This window comes from Homo sapiens, chromosome 3, assembly GCF_000001405.40.
Source record: "Homo sapiens chromosome 3, GRCh38.p14 Primary Assembly".
Lineage (NCBI taxonomy): Eukaryota > Metazoa > Chordata > Mammalia > Primates > Hominidae > Homo > Homo sapiens.
In genome coordinates, this window is record NC_000003.12 from 168,789,028 (window position 1) to 168,811,497 (window position 22,470).

A 22,470-nucleotide genomic window follows, 5' to 3' on the forward strand; every position below is an offset into this window, starting at 1 on the left:
CTGTGTCAAAATAAACAAATAAATAAATAAACTAACAAATAGCAGGCATCATTATTGAAAGAAACATAAAATATCTGTTTGCAGATGACATGATTTTGTGTATAGAAAATTCTTAAAAATATACTTTTAAAAACTATTAGAACTAATAAAAATTCAACAAATTTGCATGATACAAGATGAACACAAAAATTATATTTTAATATACTAGCATAGAGCATGCAGAAGTGAAATTAAGAAACAATTCCATTTACCACAGCATCAAAAAGAAAAAAATGCATAAGAACAAATTTAATAAGTGCAAAAGTGATATACTGAAAACTAGGAAACATTTCTGAAGTAAGAATCTAAACAAATGGAACGATATCTCATGTTCATAGATCAGACATCCTATTGTTTAAATGGCAATACTCCCCAAATTAATCTGCAGATTCAACTCAATCCCTCTCTATCAAAAAAAGCAAGGAGTAGAACAATGTATATTGTTCTGTATTACTTATATTTCCATAAAGAATGTCTAGAAACATTCACAAGAAACTAATGAAAGCATTTATGTATCATAATAGTTGGGTTGAAACTGGATAAATGTGGGGCAGGTTGACTATATATATTGTTTTTCTTTTTACACCCTGCATTATTTTTTAAAAGTATGGGAGAGGAGCAGGATTGGAAATTATCTTGCCCCACTCTAGCAGTCTGTAAGATAGACAAGCCTGGATTCATAGAATCAGACTAGAATGACTGACAAATAAGCAGTGTGTGGAGGTAATCCTCATAGGATGTGTGGCCGCCCATTACTTTGAACTTCCAGAGAATATTACTAACATCCATTGAAACAGGAACAAGTAAAGGGGAGAAAGGCTAGCTTACTTAATCCAATGGGATTTTAACTTCTTTATCACTATCCCCACAGCAGCTGTAGCGAGGGCCCTCACACATCTCTCCAGTCTTCCTTTTCCTCACACTGTCACCTCTTATCCAAAGTCAGAGGAAACCTAGAGAAGGTAGTAGATTTTATCTATGAATGATCCTGCTGTGCAAAGGAGAAAAGATAGGGAAAGACTGGGAAAAAGAGCAGAGGAGTCAGAAGGAGTTCCTGCTGACTCTTTACCTAACTTGGGTACCACAGGGCAGGAGATAAACTTTGGAGAAGAGTGCAATTAAGCAAACGCCACTTCAGCTTTGATCTACATTTAATTTGTTCACATTTGAGGGTTCAGATCCAAAATGAAAAAGGGTTTTATGGCTGAATATTATTTCATTATATATGTAAACCACATTTCCTTTGTCTTTTTATCCACTGATAGACACTTAGTTTGATTCCATACCTTGGCTGTTGTGAATAGTGCTGTAATAAAAGTGGGAATACTGGTACCTCTTCAGCATACTGATTTCCTTTTTATGAGTATGTATACCCAGCAGTGGGATTGCTGGATCATATGGCAGTTCCATTTTCAGTTTATTGAGGAACTTCTACACTGTTTTCTATAGTTACTGTACTACTTTAGATTCCTCCCAACAGTGTACTGGCATTCCCCTATCTCCACATCCTCACTAGTATTTGTTACTTTTTGTCTTTTTGATAACAGCCATTCTAACTGGGGTAGGTAATATCTCCTAGTGATTTTCATTTGTATTTCCCTCACAATCAGTGATATTGAATAGTTTTTCATATACTTCTTGGCCATTTGTATATCTTCTTTTGAGAAATGTCCATTCAGATCTTTTGCCCATTTTTAATTGCATTGATTTTTTGTTTTTTTTTGCTATTGATTTGTTAGTTCCTTACACATGCTGGTTATTAATCTCTTGTCAGACCAATAGATTGTAAGTATTTTCTCACATTCTGTAGGTTGTCTTTTCACTTTATTGATTGTTTTCTTTGCTGTGCAAAAGCTTTTTAGCTTATTGTAATTCCATTTGTCTATTGTTGTGTTGTCTGTGCTTTTGAGATCTTACCCCCCAAAATCTTTGCTCAGACCAAAGTCCTGTAGCATTTTCCTAGTGTTTTAGTAGTTTCATAGTTTCAAGTCTTGTAATGAAGTCTTTAACCCATTGTTAGTTGATTTTTGCATGTGGTGGAAGATAAAGATCTAGTTTCATTTTTCTGCATATGAATATCCAGTTTATCCAGCACCATTTATTAAAGAGACTGTCCTTTCCCCCATGCATGTTCTTGATATCTTTGTCAAAAACCAACTGAGTGTAAGTGTATGGATTTACTTCTGGATTCTCTATTCTGTTGCATTCGTCTAGGTGTCTGTTTTATGCCAATATCATGCTGTTTGGGTTATTATAGCTGTGTAGTATAATTTGAAATCAGAGCTTGTGATGCTTCTAGCTTTCTTCTTTTTGCTCAGGATGATTTTAGCTATTCAGGGACATTTGTGGTTCTATACATATTTTATATTTTTTTTATTTCTGTGAAGAATGTCATTGGAATCAAGCTTGAGCTTGTATACAGATTTTAACAATATTAAGTCTCTCAACTCATGAGCATAAATTTCCACCTTATCATTTGCAGCAGGATGTGTAGAACTGGAGGTCATTATGTTAAGTGAAATAAGCCAGGCTCACAACAACAGATATCACATGTTCTCATTCTTATGTGGGAGCTATAAAAGGGGGTCTTATGGAGGTAGAGGGTAGACTGGGAAGGGAAGAGGGATGGGGAGATGAAGAGAAGTTGGTTACGGAGTACAAAGACATGGTTGGATAGAAGGAATACGTTCTAGTGTAAAAGAGTACAGTAGGCAAATTATAGTTAGCAATAATTTATTGCATTTTTAAAAATAGCTAGAAGAAAAGAACTTTAATATTCCCAAAACAAATAAAATATAAATGTTTGAGGTGAGGGATATCCCAATTACCCTGATTTGGTTATTATTCATTGTATACAGTTTTCAAAATATCACATGTACCCCCAAAATATGTAAAACTGTTATATACAAATAAATAACAAAACTAAAAATAACAGCTGTGCAAACATTTTTAAAAGGCTTGCTTTAAATGGGTTTCACATGAAAGTAGGAAAGGACTCTCTGGAGTCTTTACCATCTTTATGTGAGAAACACATTGGTCCCAGTGGTCTCTTTACCTTTCTTAGTCCATCCTTTCACTCTGTACATCTTTCTGAACTCAATGAATTATACACTATTGCTGCTTAATTGCTTTCAGAAATGGACCCCTGCACAGGTGGGAATGGATGTGTTCACATATGTCAGAGTGAGAATGGCACGGCCAGGTGTGCCTGTCATGCAGGGTACCAGCTGCCTGAAGATAAAAACATTTGTGAAGGTAGGAGACTGAAACTGAAGGATTAATTGTGTAATTGTTTGAAATTTTGTGGTAATTCAGTTTTGAATAGTCAGAACAGCTAGGAGAAAAGGTGTTTTCGTTTATTCTTAAAAAGGAACATTTAAATTCTTATTTGATCATTTGAAAGCTATTTTTATACCATAAAACTTCAGTGAAATTCTTAGTAACATTTTAAAAAATGACATAGGATAGTTCCAGACTTAATACGTTTTGTTTCTCATTCTGAAGTGAATTCCAGAATTAATATTTCAAAATCTTCTATAGCCACACAGGAAGTTTTTTATTATAGGCTACAGAAGGTGGGGATAACCTTTGAAAAGCAAGTATATGTAAATGAGTGTTTTCAGAAGTCAGGAATAATTAAAACAAAAAAGAAAGAACTCTATAAATACAAAATCACACATTTATCTTTCCTAGAACTAGCAAAACAGACATACTTTAATTCAAAGATGAAAGTGACAAATTCTTCCCTCACAAGAACTGATACATTAAGTAATTTCTCTGGGGCAGTCTTGTCAAAAGTCTCATTTTAATAACTTTTGAGAAATCACTTTTTTTATCATGATATTTTCATGAAATGAGAAACCATTTTTATCATGATATTTTCATGAAATGAGAAACTATTTATTTGGAGTAACTACAAAAGTAATTATGACTTATGGGACTGATAAAAATTACGAAAAATAATTAGTAATGGAAATTTGTGTTTTCATTTTTTTCTTTAGGTTGAAATTAAGATGATATTTTCTGTGGATTTTTTAAACACACTTTTCTAACAGAGAACATTTCTGCTTTGGTCCTCTGTTTCCACAGCACCTATCTAGCTCAGCACCTGGCACAGAATAGGATCATCTTAAATAAATATTTGAGGAAAACTGACAAATGTTTGCAGACATAGATATAGTTATGTATATTTATCTGTCTACTGACTTTCACACTCCTATTTTAACATCTGATACATTATTTATAGAAAATCTATCCTCAGAATTACTGCCTGCCTATTCTATTACAAATACATTAGAAGAATGAGTATTTCTCTTAAGCACCCTGGTGGGGATGATATGTAGTATGGAGGAAGAACCAGTTTAAAAAAATGTGAGACCTATCCCCTTAAAGGGAGGAAGGAGAGATCGCCTGAGCCACACAACTGAAGTTACACACACTGAATAGAATTGACTACTGATATCAGGAGAGAGAGGGTATCAGTGTCTAAGTGGCATTCCCTTGTGACAATCACATGTATAACAGAAACCATGGATTGCTAAATATGAAGGCCCCTTATCTGCCTTGCCCGTGGCCACACATACTAATGTAAATCAAAGAGATAGTCCTAAAGACAAATTACAATGACTTCTTCCCTGCATTATAAGGAATAGATTAGGCCCATTTTTGTTTCATTTTCTCTTTTTTTCTTATTAATAGATACTATTAGGTTCTAATAGAAGTGTTTGAGAGCATAAGACCAACACTAGTGGTAATGTCATAAGCAGTCAGCTTATTCACAAATACTCCTTTATATAAAGAATATGGAACCTATGTGGTACTTACTGTTACAGTGGATGTTGGGGGTGGGGGTCAAGTGGGAGCAGGTGCATTGGTCCATTATTGTAGTTTGTCAAAAAGTCATCATTATAGCTCCTAAGACATAGCTGTTGTGTCTGTCTTCCTGCAGATATAAATGAGTGTGCTGAAGGTCTTTCTTACTGTGGCCACTGCTGTGTAAACTCTATGGGATCTTTCACTTGTGCCTGCCAAACTGGCTTTGAGCTGGGAGCTGATAGAAAACAATGTTACAGTAATTGGCAACAGTCACAGCCCAGGTAATGTGTGGCATTTTACAGGTATTAAACATGAGTAATACATAAGAGAATTACATTGTGTGTCTTGCTAAAGCAGGAGCTCCTGAGAAGGATGTGGATGGAGGCTTAAAAATCCAACCCCTTTATTTTATAGGTGAGAAAACAGAGGCCCAGAGTCAATGGAGAATGGTTTGCAAAATAATCTGTAGTGTCATTAGCAAGGATTAAGCCTCAGGTTTTCTGACTTGGGGCTTTGTTGGGTTCATAGATCTTTGTGAAAATTCTGCCTTCCTTTATCAGTTCTGCCATGCAATATTTATTGAACACTAATAACTCCATTGTAAAACTCAAGAGAAAGGAAAGAGCAGGAGTGAAGGAACCACCGTACAAGAAGCAGCTCTAAGCTGCAATACCATGCCTCATGCATTGGATGTTCTAATGAGAATCTTCCACATTGGCCCTCCCCCTCCCTCCCTCATTTCCTTTCATTATGCCTATTGAGCAGCTGCTTCCTGCTTTGTCTTTTCTTCCACTGATTCATTTCCCTATCCCTTCTCTTCAAAACATTCATGATCCATATCATATAACCTTAGCATCTTCCTCCCTAGGCTCAGTTATACAACTAAATATATCCCTTTTTAGGAACATATTAAAATGTTAATATGCTGAGCGATTAGCTATAGTTGCTATTACAACTATGTTCTCCTCACACGTCATCCCCACTGGTCCACTACTTAATCTGTAGATGAGCACACTTTCTACTTTACTAAGCTTTAATCTATCTGATACAAATTTCCTCAAGTTCAATGTTTTCTACCTCAACATTTGCCATCCTCATCCATCTCTACTTCTGTCCTTTTCTAAATGGCAGATTTTTTTTTCTTATTTTTATGGCTGATTTCTCCATCTCTGTCTCAGTACATCAAGAGACAGAGGTCTTGGTACATCAACAATTCATTTTTCTTCTTCATCTTCTTCTTCATCTTCAGACTCTATCTTTCTCTCAGTGACTTCTTCCTTCTTTTTCCAGTTCACGACTATACTTTACCAGGTAAATTTTACTATGTTGAAAACATAACCATGCTAACTGGTTTTGCTTTAAATTCAGGATCATAAATCTTAAATGATTAAGCAGCATTGGTGGACAAACATACTGTCAGAATATGTCTACTTTTACCCTCATCAAAATAAGTGTTTAACATCTCTTCCAAAACTTTATATCACCCTCCTTTTGACCTTTGTCCTCATCTCATCTCTTAGGTCATCAAATAATAAATGCAAACTGTCATCCAAGGTAACAATTAAACCAAAGTCTCCCATAGATTCACATGGAAAGGCTTCAGTCCTATTAATATGAAGCAGGTAGCCCTATTACTATCAAAGGTCATCTTCTCCATGGAGCTTTGGGTTCCATTCTCTCTTCACATCTGAAGATCTTTGCTTTTGCAATTATTTCCCTCTTTTCTGAATTATCAGTTCTTTCTTCTGCATCATTTTCATCAGCATAACAACATGGCCAAGTATCTTCTGTCTTTAAAGTACTTTCACATGAGTCCATATTTCATAAAAGCTAATGTCTGACTCTATAGCCAATGTCTCCTCTTTCTCATCTTGCATTCTCTCATCAGCCCATACTAATCAAGTTTTCATCTCTACTCTGCCACTTGTCACCCATGACCTCTATGCTACCAGATTGGATGGTAGCTTCTTCAATTTTATCCTAATTGACCTCTCAGTAGTTTTCAACACTTCTGACTACCCTCAAGTCAGGCAAAGTTCCTGCCTTTATGGAACTTAAATTCCTACAGAGGAGATAGAAAACAGGAAATTAATCAAAGAAATGTATACTATTATCTTATATAGTGTTAATATGCAATGAGAAGATCCAAGAAAAAGGAGCAGTAATAACTAAGACCCTAAGGTAGGGCTGAGCTTGATGTTTCAGGAAACAGAAAACCAGTGTGGGCTGGAAAAGAATGAACAAGGTGTAGAGACAGTCAATGAGAGCAGTAGGCAGGGAAAGGGAACAATCAGATTATACTAGACTTGGCCATCGCAAGCGGTTTGAATTTTATTCCAAATGTGACAAGAAGGCATTGGGTAGTTTTGAACAAACAAAAGAGTTCAAGAAGAGCAAAAGAGTTCTTCTCAAAACACTCTTCACTTCTGTGTTACTACATTTTTCTAGTATTTCTTTCCATCTCTGGCCCTTCTCTCAATGTAAAATTTATCCAACTGCTCTCCTTTTAACTACATATGAATATACCAAACTATTCCGCATCACTACCTGCATGACTGGTAGGCATTTCCCACTTGGTAGAACCAAAACAGAAATGCTGATTTTGAGTCCGAGTCCCAAAGAGCCTTTTCTCAGTTCTTCACATATTAATCAATCATCCATTTAGTGACAAAGTCAAGAACTCAGTGACAGAAAATTAATAAGTGACTGAACTAGGATTTGACCTAGAGTCTTCCTGCCTCAGATATAATATCCTTTCAGCTTCATCATGTGTTTATATACGTTATGTCTCTTTATTAGTTTTAATGAAGGAACAAATAAAGATGGTGATATATAAAATAAATATTTAAGCTTTCTTACCTGAGCTCTTTCATGAAGAGATATTATTAGAGTAACTAAATTCCTCATTCTTCCTTCCGACATAAAATTCTATGTGTCTTTAATTCTACGCTCCTTAAGGTCTGTTGGTATATTTTTATTGCTTAAAGACTACATTTTTGCTACAGTGATATTTGCCTTTTAAAGAGCAAACTAAATAAGATGGGAGAGAAATTTGACTACTAATTAAGATACAACTTCCTCTGAAGTCAGGCTTTTTTTTTTAATGCCCTAAGGAGTCCTTTCAGGCCGAGAAAAGTGTGGAAGGATTTTTCTTTGCCTTAAGTATTTTGGCTTTAATGTGACCAGAGGTTTAGGGGATGAGTATATTTTACAAGTGTATGAAATTAAACCTCTTGTAATCTGACTGGTGCTTCCTCAGTTATCAGGAAAGAGGGGGTCATTATTGATAAGTTAGGAGGTACATACAAGTTTTCTGTAGAATTTACTTGGGAAAGAAATTTGCTCTCAAGTTGAATACATTTGGTAGAAGTTTATTTTTACATTTATTTTCCTTCTGTGAATATTTGGCTAAGCTCTTTCTGCAGTCCTCACCAGACCTATATTTACTAACTGAAATACAAACCTTTCCTAGTGAAAACTGGTCTTTTGACTTGTTTCAAAACCTATAGATGGAATAAGTCCTTTTAGACCATGATGTCATATATATATATATATATATATATATATATATATATATATATATATATTTTTTTTTTTTTTTTTTTTTGAGACGGAGTCTCCCACTGTTGCCCAGGCTGGAGTGTGGTGGTACAATCTCTGCTCACTGCAAGCTCCGCCTCCCGGGTTCACGCCATTCTCCTGCCTCAGCCTCCAGAGTAGCTGGGACTACAGGCACCCACCACCACGCCCGGCTAATTATTTGTATTTTTAGAAGAGACGGGGTTTTACTGTGTTAGCCAGGATGGTCTCGATCTCCTGACCTTGTGATCCACCCGCCTTGGCCTCCCAAAGTGCTGGGATTACAGACGTGAGCCACTGCGCCCAGCCGAGTATGATGATATTTAACAATGAATTATGTGCCCATCATCTAAAGTACGTTTTGAAATGATGCTTTTTTCTTTTTTAGAGAACAGTGTTTTATATTTATGTAGTTTTTTCTCAACAGGTCTCAAAACACTTTGCAGTATAACCATTGAATCTTCATAGTGTACTATGAATTAGCTATCATTGTCTTATAATTAGAAATTGGAAAATTTGACATACAGAACACTTCCTTCAAATTACCAAGCAATATGTAATATAGTTTAACTATTTCACACATATTTAATGTACATCTTATCTAGCAAGCAAACAATATATTTGCTACTTATAAAAATGTTTTAAGTATGATTTCTAAAGTACTATAATAAAAACATTTTTTATCATCTGAATCAAAGAATCAAAATCTCAGCTTGCATCTGGTAGGTAGTTATGGATCTGAGTTTGCACTTTTTTTAGTTCCATATATCTTTAAAGAAGTGACCATGGTATCATTTATATTCAAATCCAATTACCACCAGCAGTCTAAAGCTGTATTGATGCAATATCACTGGAAAAGAGCATGAATAAGAGAAGCCTATGTAAAAATTGTCAAATGGATACTTTCACCTCTCTTCCCCCCTGAAAAAATCAATTAATATTAGAAATTTATTATAGTTTTCAGTATTTTAAATATAACCTAATCCAGGGATCAAAACTCTAACACCAACACAAGACAGGCAATAAATATAAATGTGTAAGACAGGCTAAGCATAAAAGATAGGAAATTGTAAGGACTGTTTTGAACTGGAGAGGGAGTTTTGGGCCTAGAGAGGACAGCTATTGCTTGATTGCTTGCCTCCAGCTAACTGTCACCTAGAGGGAGTGTGATGCCAGTGTACTAGACCCACTGATTTATTCAACAAGTGCTTACTGAATACCTACCATGTGCTAGGTGCTGTTCCTAACACTATAGATACAATGATAAACAAGTCAGGAAAAGTTCCTGCCTTTATGGAACTTAAATTCCTATAGAGGAGATAGAAAACAGGAAATTAATCAAAGAAATGTATACTATCACCTTATATAGTGTTAATATACAATGAGAAGATCCAAGAAAAAGGAGCAGTAATAACTAAGACCCTAAGGTAGGGCTGAGCTTGATGTTTTAGGAAACAGAAAACCAGTGTAGGCTGGAAAAGAGTGAACAAGGTGTAGAGACAGTCAATGAGAGCAGTAGGCAGGGAAAGGGAAGAATCAGACTTGGCCGTCGCAAGGGGTTTGGATTTTATTCCAAATGTGACGAGAAGGCATTGGGTAGTTTTGAACAAACAGTAATATCATATGATTTTCACTGTTTAAGGACTACTGTGGCTACTCCCTAGGGAATGGACAGTAGGGAGTGTCTGTAAAAGCAAGATTAGAGTCATTCAGGTGAGCTGTGGTGGTGGCTTTAATTAAGCTAGTAGCAGTAGATTTGAGATTTATTTTGTAGACACAGCTGAGATGAATTCCTAATGTGGATGTGAGGAAAAGAAAAATCAAGAATAATTCTTGGTTTGGGGCTTTAGGAAACAGGTGAATCCGAATGTCTTTTACCAAAATGTGGAGTCCAATAGAAGAACAGGTTTGGAGGTGAGATATAGGGTATGTTTAAATCATAACTTCTATTTCTGCTGTGTGAAGTTTAAGGAGCCAAGTAGAAATAACATGTAGGTAGTTTCTATCTATTTCCTAACTAAATAGAAAATTCTAGAAGTTTATGGTGGTCAGAGCTTGAGTGAGCAGCTTGTCAAGATGTAAATGTCAGTATTTAAGCCATGAGCAAGAATGGGGTCACTTACAAAGGGAGGGTGTCTGGAGGAGTAAGCAGGAGGAAACTGAGACTGTAGACTCCAACATTAAGTAACTAAAATGTGACACAGAGACAGGAAAGACTGAAGAAGAATGTCCAGTAAGGTTTAAGGACAACTTGGATAATGTGATTTTCTGAAGAATAAAATAAAAAAAAGTTGGGAGAAGTAAATGGTCAATGGTATCAAGTGCTGCTAAGGATTAGGCAATGTGGCAGTAAATGGAGAACAATGTGGAATCTAGGGAGGGTTATCTTGCCTCTTAATTTATTTTTTACTTAGACAGTAAAATTAACATGTTCAGTATATAATCATATCAATTTTAATTGTAAATATATAGATTTCTGTAACCACCATTGGAATCATGATTAAGAATAGTTTTGTCAACCCCAGAAAACTCCCTGGTGCTACCCTTGGCTTGTCACTTATTCCCCGTCTCTAACCTTTGACATCTACTTGATGTGTTCTCCCTCACTGGAATTTTCTTTTCTTGGGAATGTCATATAAATGGAATTAAACTGTGTGTATCCTTTTATTCAACATAATGCCATTAAGATTCAGCCAAGTTGTTGCTCATATGAAGAGTTCTATTCTTTGATGAGTATGGATATACTATAGTTGGTTTATTATTCACCCTTTGAAGGACATTTAAGTTGTTTCCAGGTTTTGGCAATTATGAAGAGAGCTGCTATAAACATTTGTATACAGGTTTTTATATGAACATAGTTTTAAAAAAGATTTTTCTCTTCAGTAAAAACCTAGGGCTGGAATCACAAGGTCATATGATAGGTGTATATTTAAGTTTATAAGAAACTCCCAAGCTATCTTTTGGAATGGATGCAACATGGGTTATTGGCTTTAAAAAAAAAATAGGAGACCTTTAATTTGTGATGAAATGGTGGAAATCCTAATATTTTCTTAACTTTTGTAACACCTTGATAATCAAATCCCATATAACTGCAGGCCACTAGTTTCCAAACCTTAGTGCAACTCAATCCCTCTGTTAACAGTGGGAAAAATACTGAGGATCAGAGATTTAAAATAATTGAAGATTACACAGCTGTAAAGTGTCAGATCTTCCAACTTTAAATGTTGTGCCTTTTTCTATTATGTCACACTAACTTTTCTTAGGAAAAATATTACACCACATTTCAGTGAAATAGATTACATGCTTGTCAAATTATTTTCTCTTTTTCTTTCCTTTTTTTTTTTTTTTTTTTTTTTTGATAGGGGCTTGTTCTGTCACCCAGGCTAGAGTGCAATGGCAAGATCACAGCTTACTGTAGCCTTGATCTCCCCAGCTCCAGCAACCCTCCCACCTCTCAGCTTGCTGAGTAGCTGGGACTACAAGAACGTGCCACCACGCCCAACTAATTTTTTATATTTTTTTCTAGAGACAGGGTTTCACTATATTACCCAAGCTTGTCTCAAACTCCTGGGCTCTAGTGATCTGCACACCTTGGCCTCCCAAAGTGCTGGGATTAGAGGTGTGAGCCACCAGGCCTAGCTATTTTCTCTTTACAAATGATATTATATAGGAAAACATCTCTGAATTAGAAAGCTTTGATTCTTACCAGCCCTGCTACCTTAGGCAAGTCTTTTATCTTTTCTGAACCTCAGTTTTCTGATCCTAAGCAAAAATCATGTTACTTTTATGACTTATAATATTTAGATTAATAAGCACATATGATACCTTGCATAATATAGACTGGCTTTTACAACCAACAGTGCCGTAAATGTTATTGAAGTGATTTCATGTCAATTGACCTTACTTTTCTCTCTAAGCAATGATGGAGATTAATTTGATAGACTCTAAGATACCACATATGGTTCATAAATAGGTAAAAATGTCTCTTTATAAGAATGGCAATAGCAAGCATATGTCAGAAAAAAACTTCAATTCTGTATCAGAAAGATCTGTGTGTCCCTGTCACCACAACCAGAGACATCATTTGAAATAGGTTTCTCTGAAGAGTATATGTTAATGTATCAAGAAAAATATCAGTTCCCTTCACTAATCTTTCCTTTAGCTTTCTAATTTTGCTTAGTCCTAAACTAGCTGTTTCTAAACCCAAAGGGGTTCTTATTTTTAACAATAAATTGATTAGCATAATCCTTCTTTTGTTTATTCAATCATTGGAAACCTATTTTGAACATCTGTTATGAGCTGGGGAGTGCAAGATGATGATGGCGCAGTGGGCTGGGCACAATGACAGGGATGTGCCCTGGGTGCTTGGGAGCATCTGAGGCTGCTCTGTGCCCTGGACTGGCTGCTGGGGAGTAGGCCGGATGATTTCTGGAACTGTAGTGGATGTCTAGGCAGTTTATATGGTGACATATGCTTTCAAGGAGTGTTACAATCCCAAAGACTCTTGTCTTGTTTTTTTTTTTTTTTTTCCTCCAGCTTTTTTTCTTCTAAATGATTCATAAGTTAAGACTTAGAGGAAATGAATCAATGTAGACACTCTCAGTAAGAGGGGGTGTGTTCAAACAACATAAATAAAGACCCATAGACCTTCTGTGGTAAAAATGGCATTCAGAGTATCTAAAGTCCATATTTTAACATGGATTCTAAACATTTTTATAATTCTTATTTTGTCACTTAGAAAATGAGAGACTATAATGCCTGTGTGCTCAGGACAATTGGCATTCATCTGCTGAGGCTCAGGCCCACCAATATGCCTGAAATTAGTAGCATGTACCAGCCAAATTGATTTTCACAGTAATAATTTGTTTATGTAATAAGTGATTCTCGTATAAATCAAAGCTCATTAGTGCATCAACATGACCCTAGTTACATATGATCAACTAAATCATTGGGTTTATGTTTACACCTTTGCTCCAAGGTTATTTTTTAACAGTATTTTCATGTGCTTATAGACCGTAAAAAGGACGCATAATAACATACTATTAGCTCAAGAACAGGAATGTCAGCTAGCAAACAACCTATTTGATTTCTGATTATTGATTTAATATATATGTATATATATTACATCTATTATATCCTGAAAATACTGAGAATTCCCAAAACATGTTTCCTTTAAGGTAAGTGTTTAATAACCAGTGGTGTATTCATCATTACCTTTCTGTATCACTCAACATTATTTATATGTTTATTAGTATATAATGTGGTATATAGGCATTTACAATGCTTAATAACCCTCAGACTTTTACTTTTATGTGTATAGAGTGTTGATGGATTTCTAATAAAGTTTGTCATCCTCTCAACAGAGAGAATGTGTCCGTTACTGACATATATTCAGGTTTGTCTGTTATGCTAATAATCCTCTTTTGCTCATTTTGGAAAGGGATTGAATTGGAAATTGTCAATAGCTGTGAAAAGAACAATAGTGTTTGTTCCCATCACCGTGAACATGAAATTGGTGCTCCCCGTTGTTCCTGTAACCATGGACACCAGCTTGATTCTGATGAGAAAACATGCATAGGTAATGTTTGGTAAATGCCATTTCATTCAAAAGTTGCTCTGGATTCATTTAGCCCTTTAATCTGTAGTACTTACGGCTGTACTGTGAGCCACATCTCTCAAACTGTAAAGACAAATAAATTGAAGAGTGTCTCTGGCTACTGAATAAATGTAAAAGAAGGGTTACCTGTCAGAAGACAACATTACATTTAGATATTTACCTTGAAGTTAAAGGAGATTTAAAACACTTTAATGAAATATATGCCCTTAATAGATTTATTTCAGGAAAATATTCCATGATCTATCCAACTATGTGATGTAATGTGTAATTCCAACAACAAATGCTGTCACATACCTCAGTTCTCTACCTCAAGCAGAAACGAAATTATTTGCACTGGTTTTCAACTTGATAATGTTTGGGATGTATGTTCAACTTTGATATGACAAGTAGCTATATTCTAAAAGACAACTTAAAAAAATTCATTCTTTGGAATTCCCAGCTCAAATCCATTTTTAATTGCTAATTTTCTCAACATATTATTGGAGTTTATATCATTTGAGACAATGAAGAAACTAAAATTCCACCCTAGTTTTGCTTCATAATGAAACATTCCTGAGAAAAAGGAGTATCTACTATAAATAGGAATAGCAAGTATCAAACTACATTACTATGTGCCCTGGTTCTGAGAACACTTCCAAGTCCCTAAGGCAGTGATTTGTCATCATTCAAGAATTATGACACCTTATTTGCTTGTTTTCTTTTGTTATGCTTAATATTTCCTCCGTTAAAAATTACAATACAAAATCTTTTGACCATTTCATACTACTCAATATGGTTAGATAGAGACAATTTGAAGTATGAAAAACTCAATGGTTTAAATATTTAGGACATTTTACTTTGGCAGTATGATGACACAGAATGAAACTCAAGAAATTTTGCAGTATTCTGGTTTTATAAATTCAAAACAATGCCATTGTATTTATTTATGCAACATTGCTTTCAATATTGTTCTCAGAATCTACAGTGGGTAACATATTGAAGCCAGTTGCTTTCCTCACCTCTTATTATTTAATGAAAAATATGCTTACTTTTATTTCCTACCTTGATAAGATTTGTAACCATAGAAAAAATTAAGGGCTTTCTTCCTTGATTGCTTCTTTTTTCCCTCCCTCTTTTCCTTCCTTCTATCTCTCTGTTTGTTCCTCTTTTGAGTATTGATAAGAGAAACTGGAATTTTGCCAAACTGTTTCTTTGCGACTTAAATTTGGTGTTTTCTTTATTTTTTGAAAAATACCATTCAGTAAAGTTCTTATTTACAGCTAGAAAAAAATAGCATCTGCCAGGGTCAAAATGTAGAAAAGTGCATATTTATGAAATTTCAGCCGTCAGTATGACAATGTTATATTGTTTATGGTTCAAGTTAATTTCATTTTTCCGACAAGAAAAAGAAAATGCAAGCCAAGCACTGAGTCTCATGCCTGTAATCCTGGCACTTTTGGGGGCTGAAGTGGGAGGATTGCTTGAGTCCAGGAGTTTGGGACCAGCCTGAGCAACTTCAAGAGACTCCATCTCTATAAAATATTTAAAAAATAACCAGGCATGGTGGTGCACTCCCAGCTACTTGGGAGACTGAAGTGAGAGGATCGCTCTAGCCCAGGATATTGAGGCTGCAGTGAGCTATGATTGTACCACTGCACTCCAGCCTGGATGACAGGGCAAGACCCTGTCTCAAAAATAAGTAAATAAATAATTCAATTTCATTTCATCTAAAACATTATTTTTTAGGCTTTTTAAAAGTTTTTCAGATTTTTAAAAAGTCTTCTCAGATACCACCAAAGACTTCGAGCATATCGGTCTCAAGATGCCCTGTTCTCAAATAGCAAGGAGCAACATTGCATTACACAATTGGAAAACAAGTCCCTCAGTCTATCATTTAGTGATCCATTTTGGATTCTTTTTCTATTAACATTCCTCTGGGGCTATTTCTAGTTTGTCCCATGTATACCATCCTCATTTGGAACTCATCTGAAACCCCGTTCTTCCTACATCACAAGCCTTTCTTAAAATGTCTTGCCACTTCAACTGTTAAATCACCTGTTTTCTAAATTTCTTTTCAAATTTTATTTTGTTAGATCTTTGCTTGCTACTGTAAATAGGAATAGCAAGTATTAAACTACGTTACTATGTGTCCTGATTCTGAAAATACTTCCAAGTTCCTAAAGCAGTGATTTGTCATCATTCAGGAATTATGATACCTTATTTGCTTGTTTTTGTTATGCTTAATATTTCCTCAATATTCTTTAATATTTCCTTTTCTTTTGTTATGCTTAATTTTCCCTTTTAATTGTCCTCATCTCTGATGATCATATTTTTCCTAAATTGGCCAATATGCCAAATATTTTACCATTGTACCCAAATTAATCCATACATAAAAATTTAGCCTTAATCAAAAGTAGAGGACCAATTGCAGCCAGGCAAAACACTGAAACATTTCAGCTCTGATTTCAGAAAAGCATCAAAAGTGAAAAACTTGATCTTCTGTATCTCTTCCCCATACATAGTCACTGAATAAGGTTAAATAATAAATATTTTCTAATAACTGGCCAATTGTTAAATTTAGTGACTTCATTGCTAGTCAGACACTTGCATTTTATATACCTGTCTTTCAAATTGTGTTAACACATCTCTAGGTTTTAGCCCTAATAAGTTTTTGCCTTTGGATAGGTTTAATTAACTATGTGCTAACTGGCTGACTTATTTTTACATTTTTTGTACATTCGCATATATATTTTTTCAAAGTTGATACTAATATATGATAAAAAGAAAATCCTTTGATTTCCTTCATGCATGACTGTTTTTTATGAAGCAGCTGTGACATTAATCTGTTCTCAGACAAATAAGTAAAATATGTATATGTACATTCCAAGTGAATAATTGCCTTTACACTAGTGAATAATTGGTCTTTAGAAATGAGTAGTTTTTTTTGTTTTTTGAGACAGGGTCTCGCCCTGTCACCCAGGCTGGAGTGCAGGTGGTACAATCACGGCTCACTGCAACCTCGAACTTCTCAGCTCAAGCAATCCTCCCACCTCAGTCTCCCAAAGTGCTGGGATTATAGGCGTGAGCTATTATGCCCAGCCTTGAAAATGAATTTTTTTAAAAGTTTTTTATTCTCTACATCATACTATTTAATCAGTAGGATTAATAAAAGGAAGGTTTAATACTAGAAAGGAAAAAATATCATTTAGAATTTTGTGAGTAGTTCTGCTTTTGACATTTTGTGGGAAAAAGAATGTTTTATGTCTAAATGACCTTCATTTAGATATTTTATGGTGACCCTTCACCTTGATTGATTGTATTTTCTTTCCTTTCTTTCTTTTGTCTTCATTTTCTTGAGTTGATACCCTTTCCAGGGTTAATTGAGACATTGACCCTTTTTATCTGTGGCTGCTTACGTAGTTATGGCATAGTAGGATTTTGTAAACTCAGCACTGACAGGCCATCCACCTTAACAGCTCAACAACAGAGGGGCTTGAATTGAACCAAGGCCTAGAGCCAAAAAAAACCCTGACCAAATAATTCCCAGGTGTTCGGCCTAAGGAAAGCAGGGCAAAGTGTCCGTTGCTACTTCCTTGGCCAATTATGTTAGAAATGATCGCCTCAAAACTCAGGTGAAATAGGTTATCCTTTGGCTGAAAACTTACAATTTGACATCTTCTGGTGCGTTTCTATTTTCCCCAGGGCAGTTATATCTTAATAAGAAGCACTCAGGATTGTAGAATTCTGAAATAACAGTGCTAAAGAAGGCTTACAGATCCTTACTTAGAAAACTGCTCACCTAACAGGACATTTCAGGGTAATGATGTCACAGATGGAATAAAAAACCCCAGACCTCACTCATCCCAGTCACAGTATAATCTAAATATTCAAACAAATGCTCTGAAATGGTCTATAATTTAAAACATAATACTTAAAATAAGTCTTCTGCCCTCTCTCAGAACTGTAGTTGCCACTTGTCTTCCCAGTCAGGCAGTTGGGAACACTTGCTTGCGAACACTCTTTGATCTGAAGTTCTGGAAGAACAAACATGTTATGGAGTCTAAGACTGTCTCCTCTTTGCAGCTGTCAAATGTTCACCAAATGGAATTTTTTGGCTCTTTTTTCTTAGGCTGTTTTTTTGTTCTTCAACTTCTCTGTTTATTCAGTCCAATTACTGTTTAAACTAGAAAAATAGCAGAGATCACTTTTCCTATGCCTATAAATGCATTTGGAGATTATTTACATTCTTTTAAAATAAATAACAGGCATAGAAGAAGCATGAAGAAACATAAACCAAAAGTAGGTCTCCTTATTTTTGTGTTAAGGTTTCTTCGCTGTTTGTATTACATGGCCTGAGAAATAGAAAATGATTAGTAAAACAGTTTTAATTTAGAAGTGTAGCTTATCAGTGCTTCTATAGGGTCGTTAAATTCCTATCTCTGCAATAACAGCAGTGTTCTTTCCCCCTTCAGATCTTGACGAATGTGAGAATGGAGAAGCCTGCTGTGCCCAGCTCTGCATCAACTATTTAGGAGGCTACAAATGCAGATGTCAGGAAGGCTTTCAGATCACTTCCAATGGTTGTGAATGTGATGGTAAATTCCTGAGATTTAACAAGTAATAATTGATGTGACAGGGCAATAAAGGAAGAGAAATGTCTGAGGCAGAGGGCTAGGGTGGGCAAGGGAAGGCTTTCACACTAAAGAGACTTGACTTTCTATGTGGTTCTACCATTTACTATCGTATAATAAACTTGGACGACTTTAACTGCAATGAACCTTAGCTGCTCATCAGTAAAGTGATGACAATAATAGGATTAGTGGGGAAATTAAGGAAAGTAATAAATGTAAAGTGCCTAGTGCAATGGCTGACATAGAAAAATAACTAAAAGTAGCTATTATTGTTATCATATTTATTGGTCCATAATCACTTTCACACAATTTAATGTATATTAAAGGCAAATGAGAGATTCTGAAAGGCACACTGTCAAAGGAACCACCCATGGCAAACTTGACTGGAATGAGAAAGCTGGTTACTGGAAGACATTTTGAATGAGTTTTTTTTGTTTGTTTGTTTGTTTTTTTTTTTAGTTAGAGAGCAAAAGGACCATCAGTTCACAAGCCACAGTCTAAATCTGTACCAGAATCCCATACATATCTGATATTAATATAGCTAATGCAAGTTTTAAAATGAGTCATTTACAATTTCTTAACTTACATGTTAAAATTAGTTCACTTACCTTTCAGGTGATTTTTTGCTTGTATATATTTTTTTTTGATATAAGAGTTTGAATTTAGTGAGTAGAGCTTGTTGACTTTGTTTATACAGTTAGGAATAGCTCATATAACCATTGCTGTAATTTAAAAGTTTACCTTAAATATTTAATCTTTAAATTTTCATTTAGTATTATTATTACCATTATTTTGAACCAAATTTTTCTTAACATCAAAGATTAGAAGATTGATATCTATTCTAATAACAATCAACTTATATAAGACTGTAATGCCTCAGAGAAATTAGTTTTTCTTTGCTTAAAGAAACACATTTCAGAATTCTGTCAAAGATGATAGATAGCCAAGCTCCCCCAACCTTGCAATGAAGATAACAGCAATGAACACACAACTATGATATCTATATATACTAAACACGGTAGCGTATATTGCCATTTACCACATTACATCCAATTAACAGAGCCAAAAACATTTTTAAAATTTCATGTACCATCTGCTCTTAAGCAGAATGAGCCAAGAGATGATTGTATGGCATGAACATACATACTTGCATACACGCATGCAAATGGAAAAGGCATCAACAATCTGAGGTAAAGCTTAGAAGCTCATACATGAACTTATAGTATTGTGAACATATTGACCAAAGTCTGGACTCAGACTTGGTCATAAACTAGTAAGTTGCATGCAATCAAGGCCTAAAATTCTTTCTTCTCTAAAATTGTCCACAAAGCTTGTACTGACTTGTACCTAGAATAAGTTTTCTATCATATATATTGAATAATTCGAGAGTGAATGAACATTCTACAAAAGGGTACACAGCCTGAGACCACTGAATTAATTAATTATTTAATTATTTATTTATTTATTTTTGAGAAGGAGTCTCGCTCTGTCGCCCTGGCTGGAGTGCAGTGGCGGGATCTCGGCTCACTGCAAGCTCCGCCTCCTGGGTTCACGCCATTCTCCTGCCTCAGCCTCCCAAGTAGCTGGGACTACAGGCACCTGCTACCACGCCCGGCTAATTTTTTGTATTTTTTAGTAGAGACGGGGTTTCACCGTGTTAGCCAGGATGGTCTCGATCTCCTGACCTCGTGATCTGCCCGCCTCGGCCTCCCAAAGTGCTGGGATTACAGGCGTGAGCCACCACACCCGGCCTGAATTTATTTTAAGTTTTTCATCTAAACCTCACAAACAAGGTCTCAGAAATACCTTGTCTGTGTAGATGAAGTAGAGTAAACTTGAAAATGAGTGAAATAAAAATAATTGGCCAAGTGTACTTGAGAAAGAATGTGGGGGCTATGCTTGCTTTCTATGTGGCAGTACATTGTTATTGTTTAATAAAGGTCACAAGAGGAACACCAATATGTCTATTATTTCATAAGATCTATCTTATCTCTCAATGCCTAAAAGCAGATATTGTTTAAATTTTCTTAGATGTGGATGAGTGTCTGGATGTCAGTATAGTCTGTGACCAACTACATTAATTCTGTGGGAACATACGAATGTAGTTGTGAAGAAGGCTACAGAATTGGAAATGACAGAAAAACTTACCCCTGTAAGTCACTGAAGAATTTTATTGTATTAATATATTTTCTAAACTACTTCCAGCCTCATCTTGTTCTTCAGGAGCAATGGAGGCCACATATTTCTTAACTCAACCTGCCTTCCCCTTTCTGTCTTCACAGACTAAGATCTTTCCTTATTTTCTTTTGTTCTCTCTGCTACAGTTTTAACTTTGTGCTGGCAGCTTCTCACCTTCATTTACAATAGACTTTTGAAATGGCCATCTCAAAGCATTTTACCTTTCTGTTACCCCCTGCCTTGGCTGTCTAGTTCAAACTCTCTCATTTCTCTATCAACCTTTGCACAGTACTTCCTTCTTTTAACCAAGTTGAAACCTCGCATTTTCTTCTATGGCCTTAGCTTTAGATGATGATGAGCTAGAGGAAGAAGAAGAGGAATGAGAAGTTGTGAGGTTTCCAGGTCTTCTATTCAAGAGCCCACCTCAACAGCTTCATTATGTTGCTACTTTTCTGCCTCCCACCTACAAAGATGAAGAAGATGAGGAGGAAGAGGAAAAAGATATTCATAGAGAACTGACTGCTTTGCACAATTTTGGTGTGTAAAAGAATTTACCTTACTATACTTACTTCTATTTTTAGATAATTTACTACATTTTTGTAGACAATTTTACTATCAATATTTAATGCCATCATATGTTTTAACATGAAGTTTGCAAGAAAAGTAGGGCCAAAGTCACTTCTTCAGAGCTTCCTATGAAATCCATCATCTTTTGTCTTTTTTATTTCCTTTTGTACAATAAAGGAGTGCTGTGTAGGTACTTGTAGAAGTGGGAGTGCAGTGTGGAGGGGTGTTCTTGAAGTTAATACAGGGAAATGGAGCAGAAAAATATCTTTAAATTAGCATAATGGGGAGAAAGATTGAAATCTTATAATTCTATTAAAATTTCACTAGAAATCACCTTAGATAGTTAAAATTTACCTTAAATAGCCCTAAAATGTAGTTCCTTTCTAGGTTTTAAAATGCAGAGAACTAATTGGTTAATATGCTTAAATGGACCAGAAAATCTTCAAAATGTGAGCAGTTTTTCTTATATATCTAAACAACAGAACTCAAGCGTCGACTTCTGATCAAAGTAAATCTCTATCAAAAGTAACTGTTTGCAGCCAGTCCACTGCTTCTTTTTTTTCCTTTGTAAAACAGAGCTGTTCTTTTTATTCTCCCTCTATTTATTGTATTTTAACAATATCAAAGCTTGATGATTGCTTTAGAATGTATTCAGAAAAATAGAAATATTTTTACGCAGTGGTCAAATCATAATATCATCAATAAGTGTCTCTATATAAAAATAGAAGTACTTTAATGTTTCTTAATTAAACTCCTGATGCTTTGGCTAATCAAAGTCAGAAGAGAAATAGTTGGGGGCGGCAACAACAACAGTCAGAACTTGAGTTGCCAAGATCTGCAAAGAAGAGAAGACCAGACAAGGAGGATGGTCTCAGATGCTTTTCTCCTCAAGCCATTTGCCAATTAATGGGTTGTGCCAGGAATCTGAAAGATAGCTGCTAGGAGCTTGAAGAGTGAAGCACATTTATCAGCAGTTTCATGATGTTGGGGAGGCAGAACATGGAGCTCAGGCCTGCCAAAGGAGAGAAGCCTTGGTAAATATGCCAAGTTTTCAATTAGGGCATC

General features: G+C 35.4%; 1 pseudogene across 1 annotated transcript in view, besides 1 other annotated feature; it reads left to right on the plus strand.

Moving 5' to 3' along the window:
- Nucleotides 1–22,470, plus strand: part of EGFEM1P (EGF like and EMI domain containing 1, pseudogene) — a 581,078-nt pseudogene that overhangs the window by 539,506 nt on the left and 19,102 nt on the right. Inside the window, exons 7-12 of the transcript NR_021485.2 lie at nt 3,175–3,294; nt 4,988–5,135; nt 13,874–14,011; nt 18,502–18,624; nt 20,692–20,812; nt 21,181–21,375. The product of NR_021485.2 is annotated as an EGF like and EMI domain containing 1, pseudogene (transcript). The remainder of the gene's footprint in view (nt 1–3,174; nt 3,295–4,987; nt 5,136–13,873; nt 14,012–18,501; nt 18,625–20,691; nt 20,813–21,180; nt 21,376–22,470) is intronic.
- Nucleotides 18,285–18,880: an enhancer, noted in NCBI's record as "OCT4-NANOG hESC enhancer chr3:168525100-168525695 (GRCh37/hg19 assembly coordinates)". NCBI's record gives its function as "activates a minimal SCP1, AML or CMV promoter by ChIP-STARR-seq in naive H9 embryonic stem cells {active_cell/tissue: H9 hESC(naive)}" and the evidence as "EXISTENCE:reporter gene assay evidence [ECO:0000049][PMID:30033119]".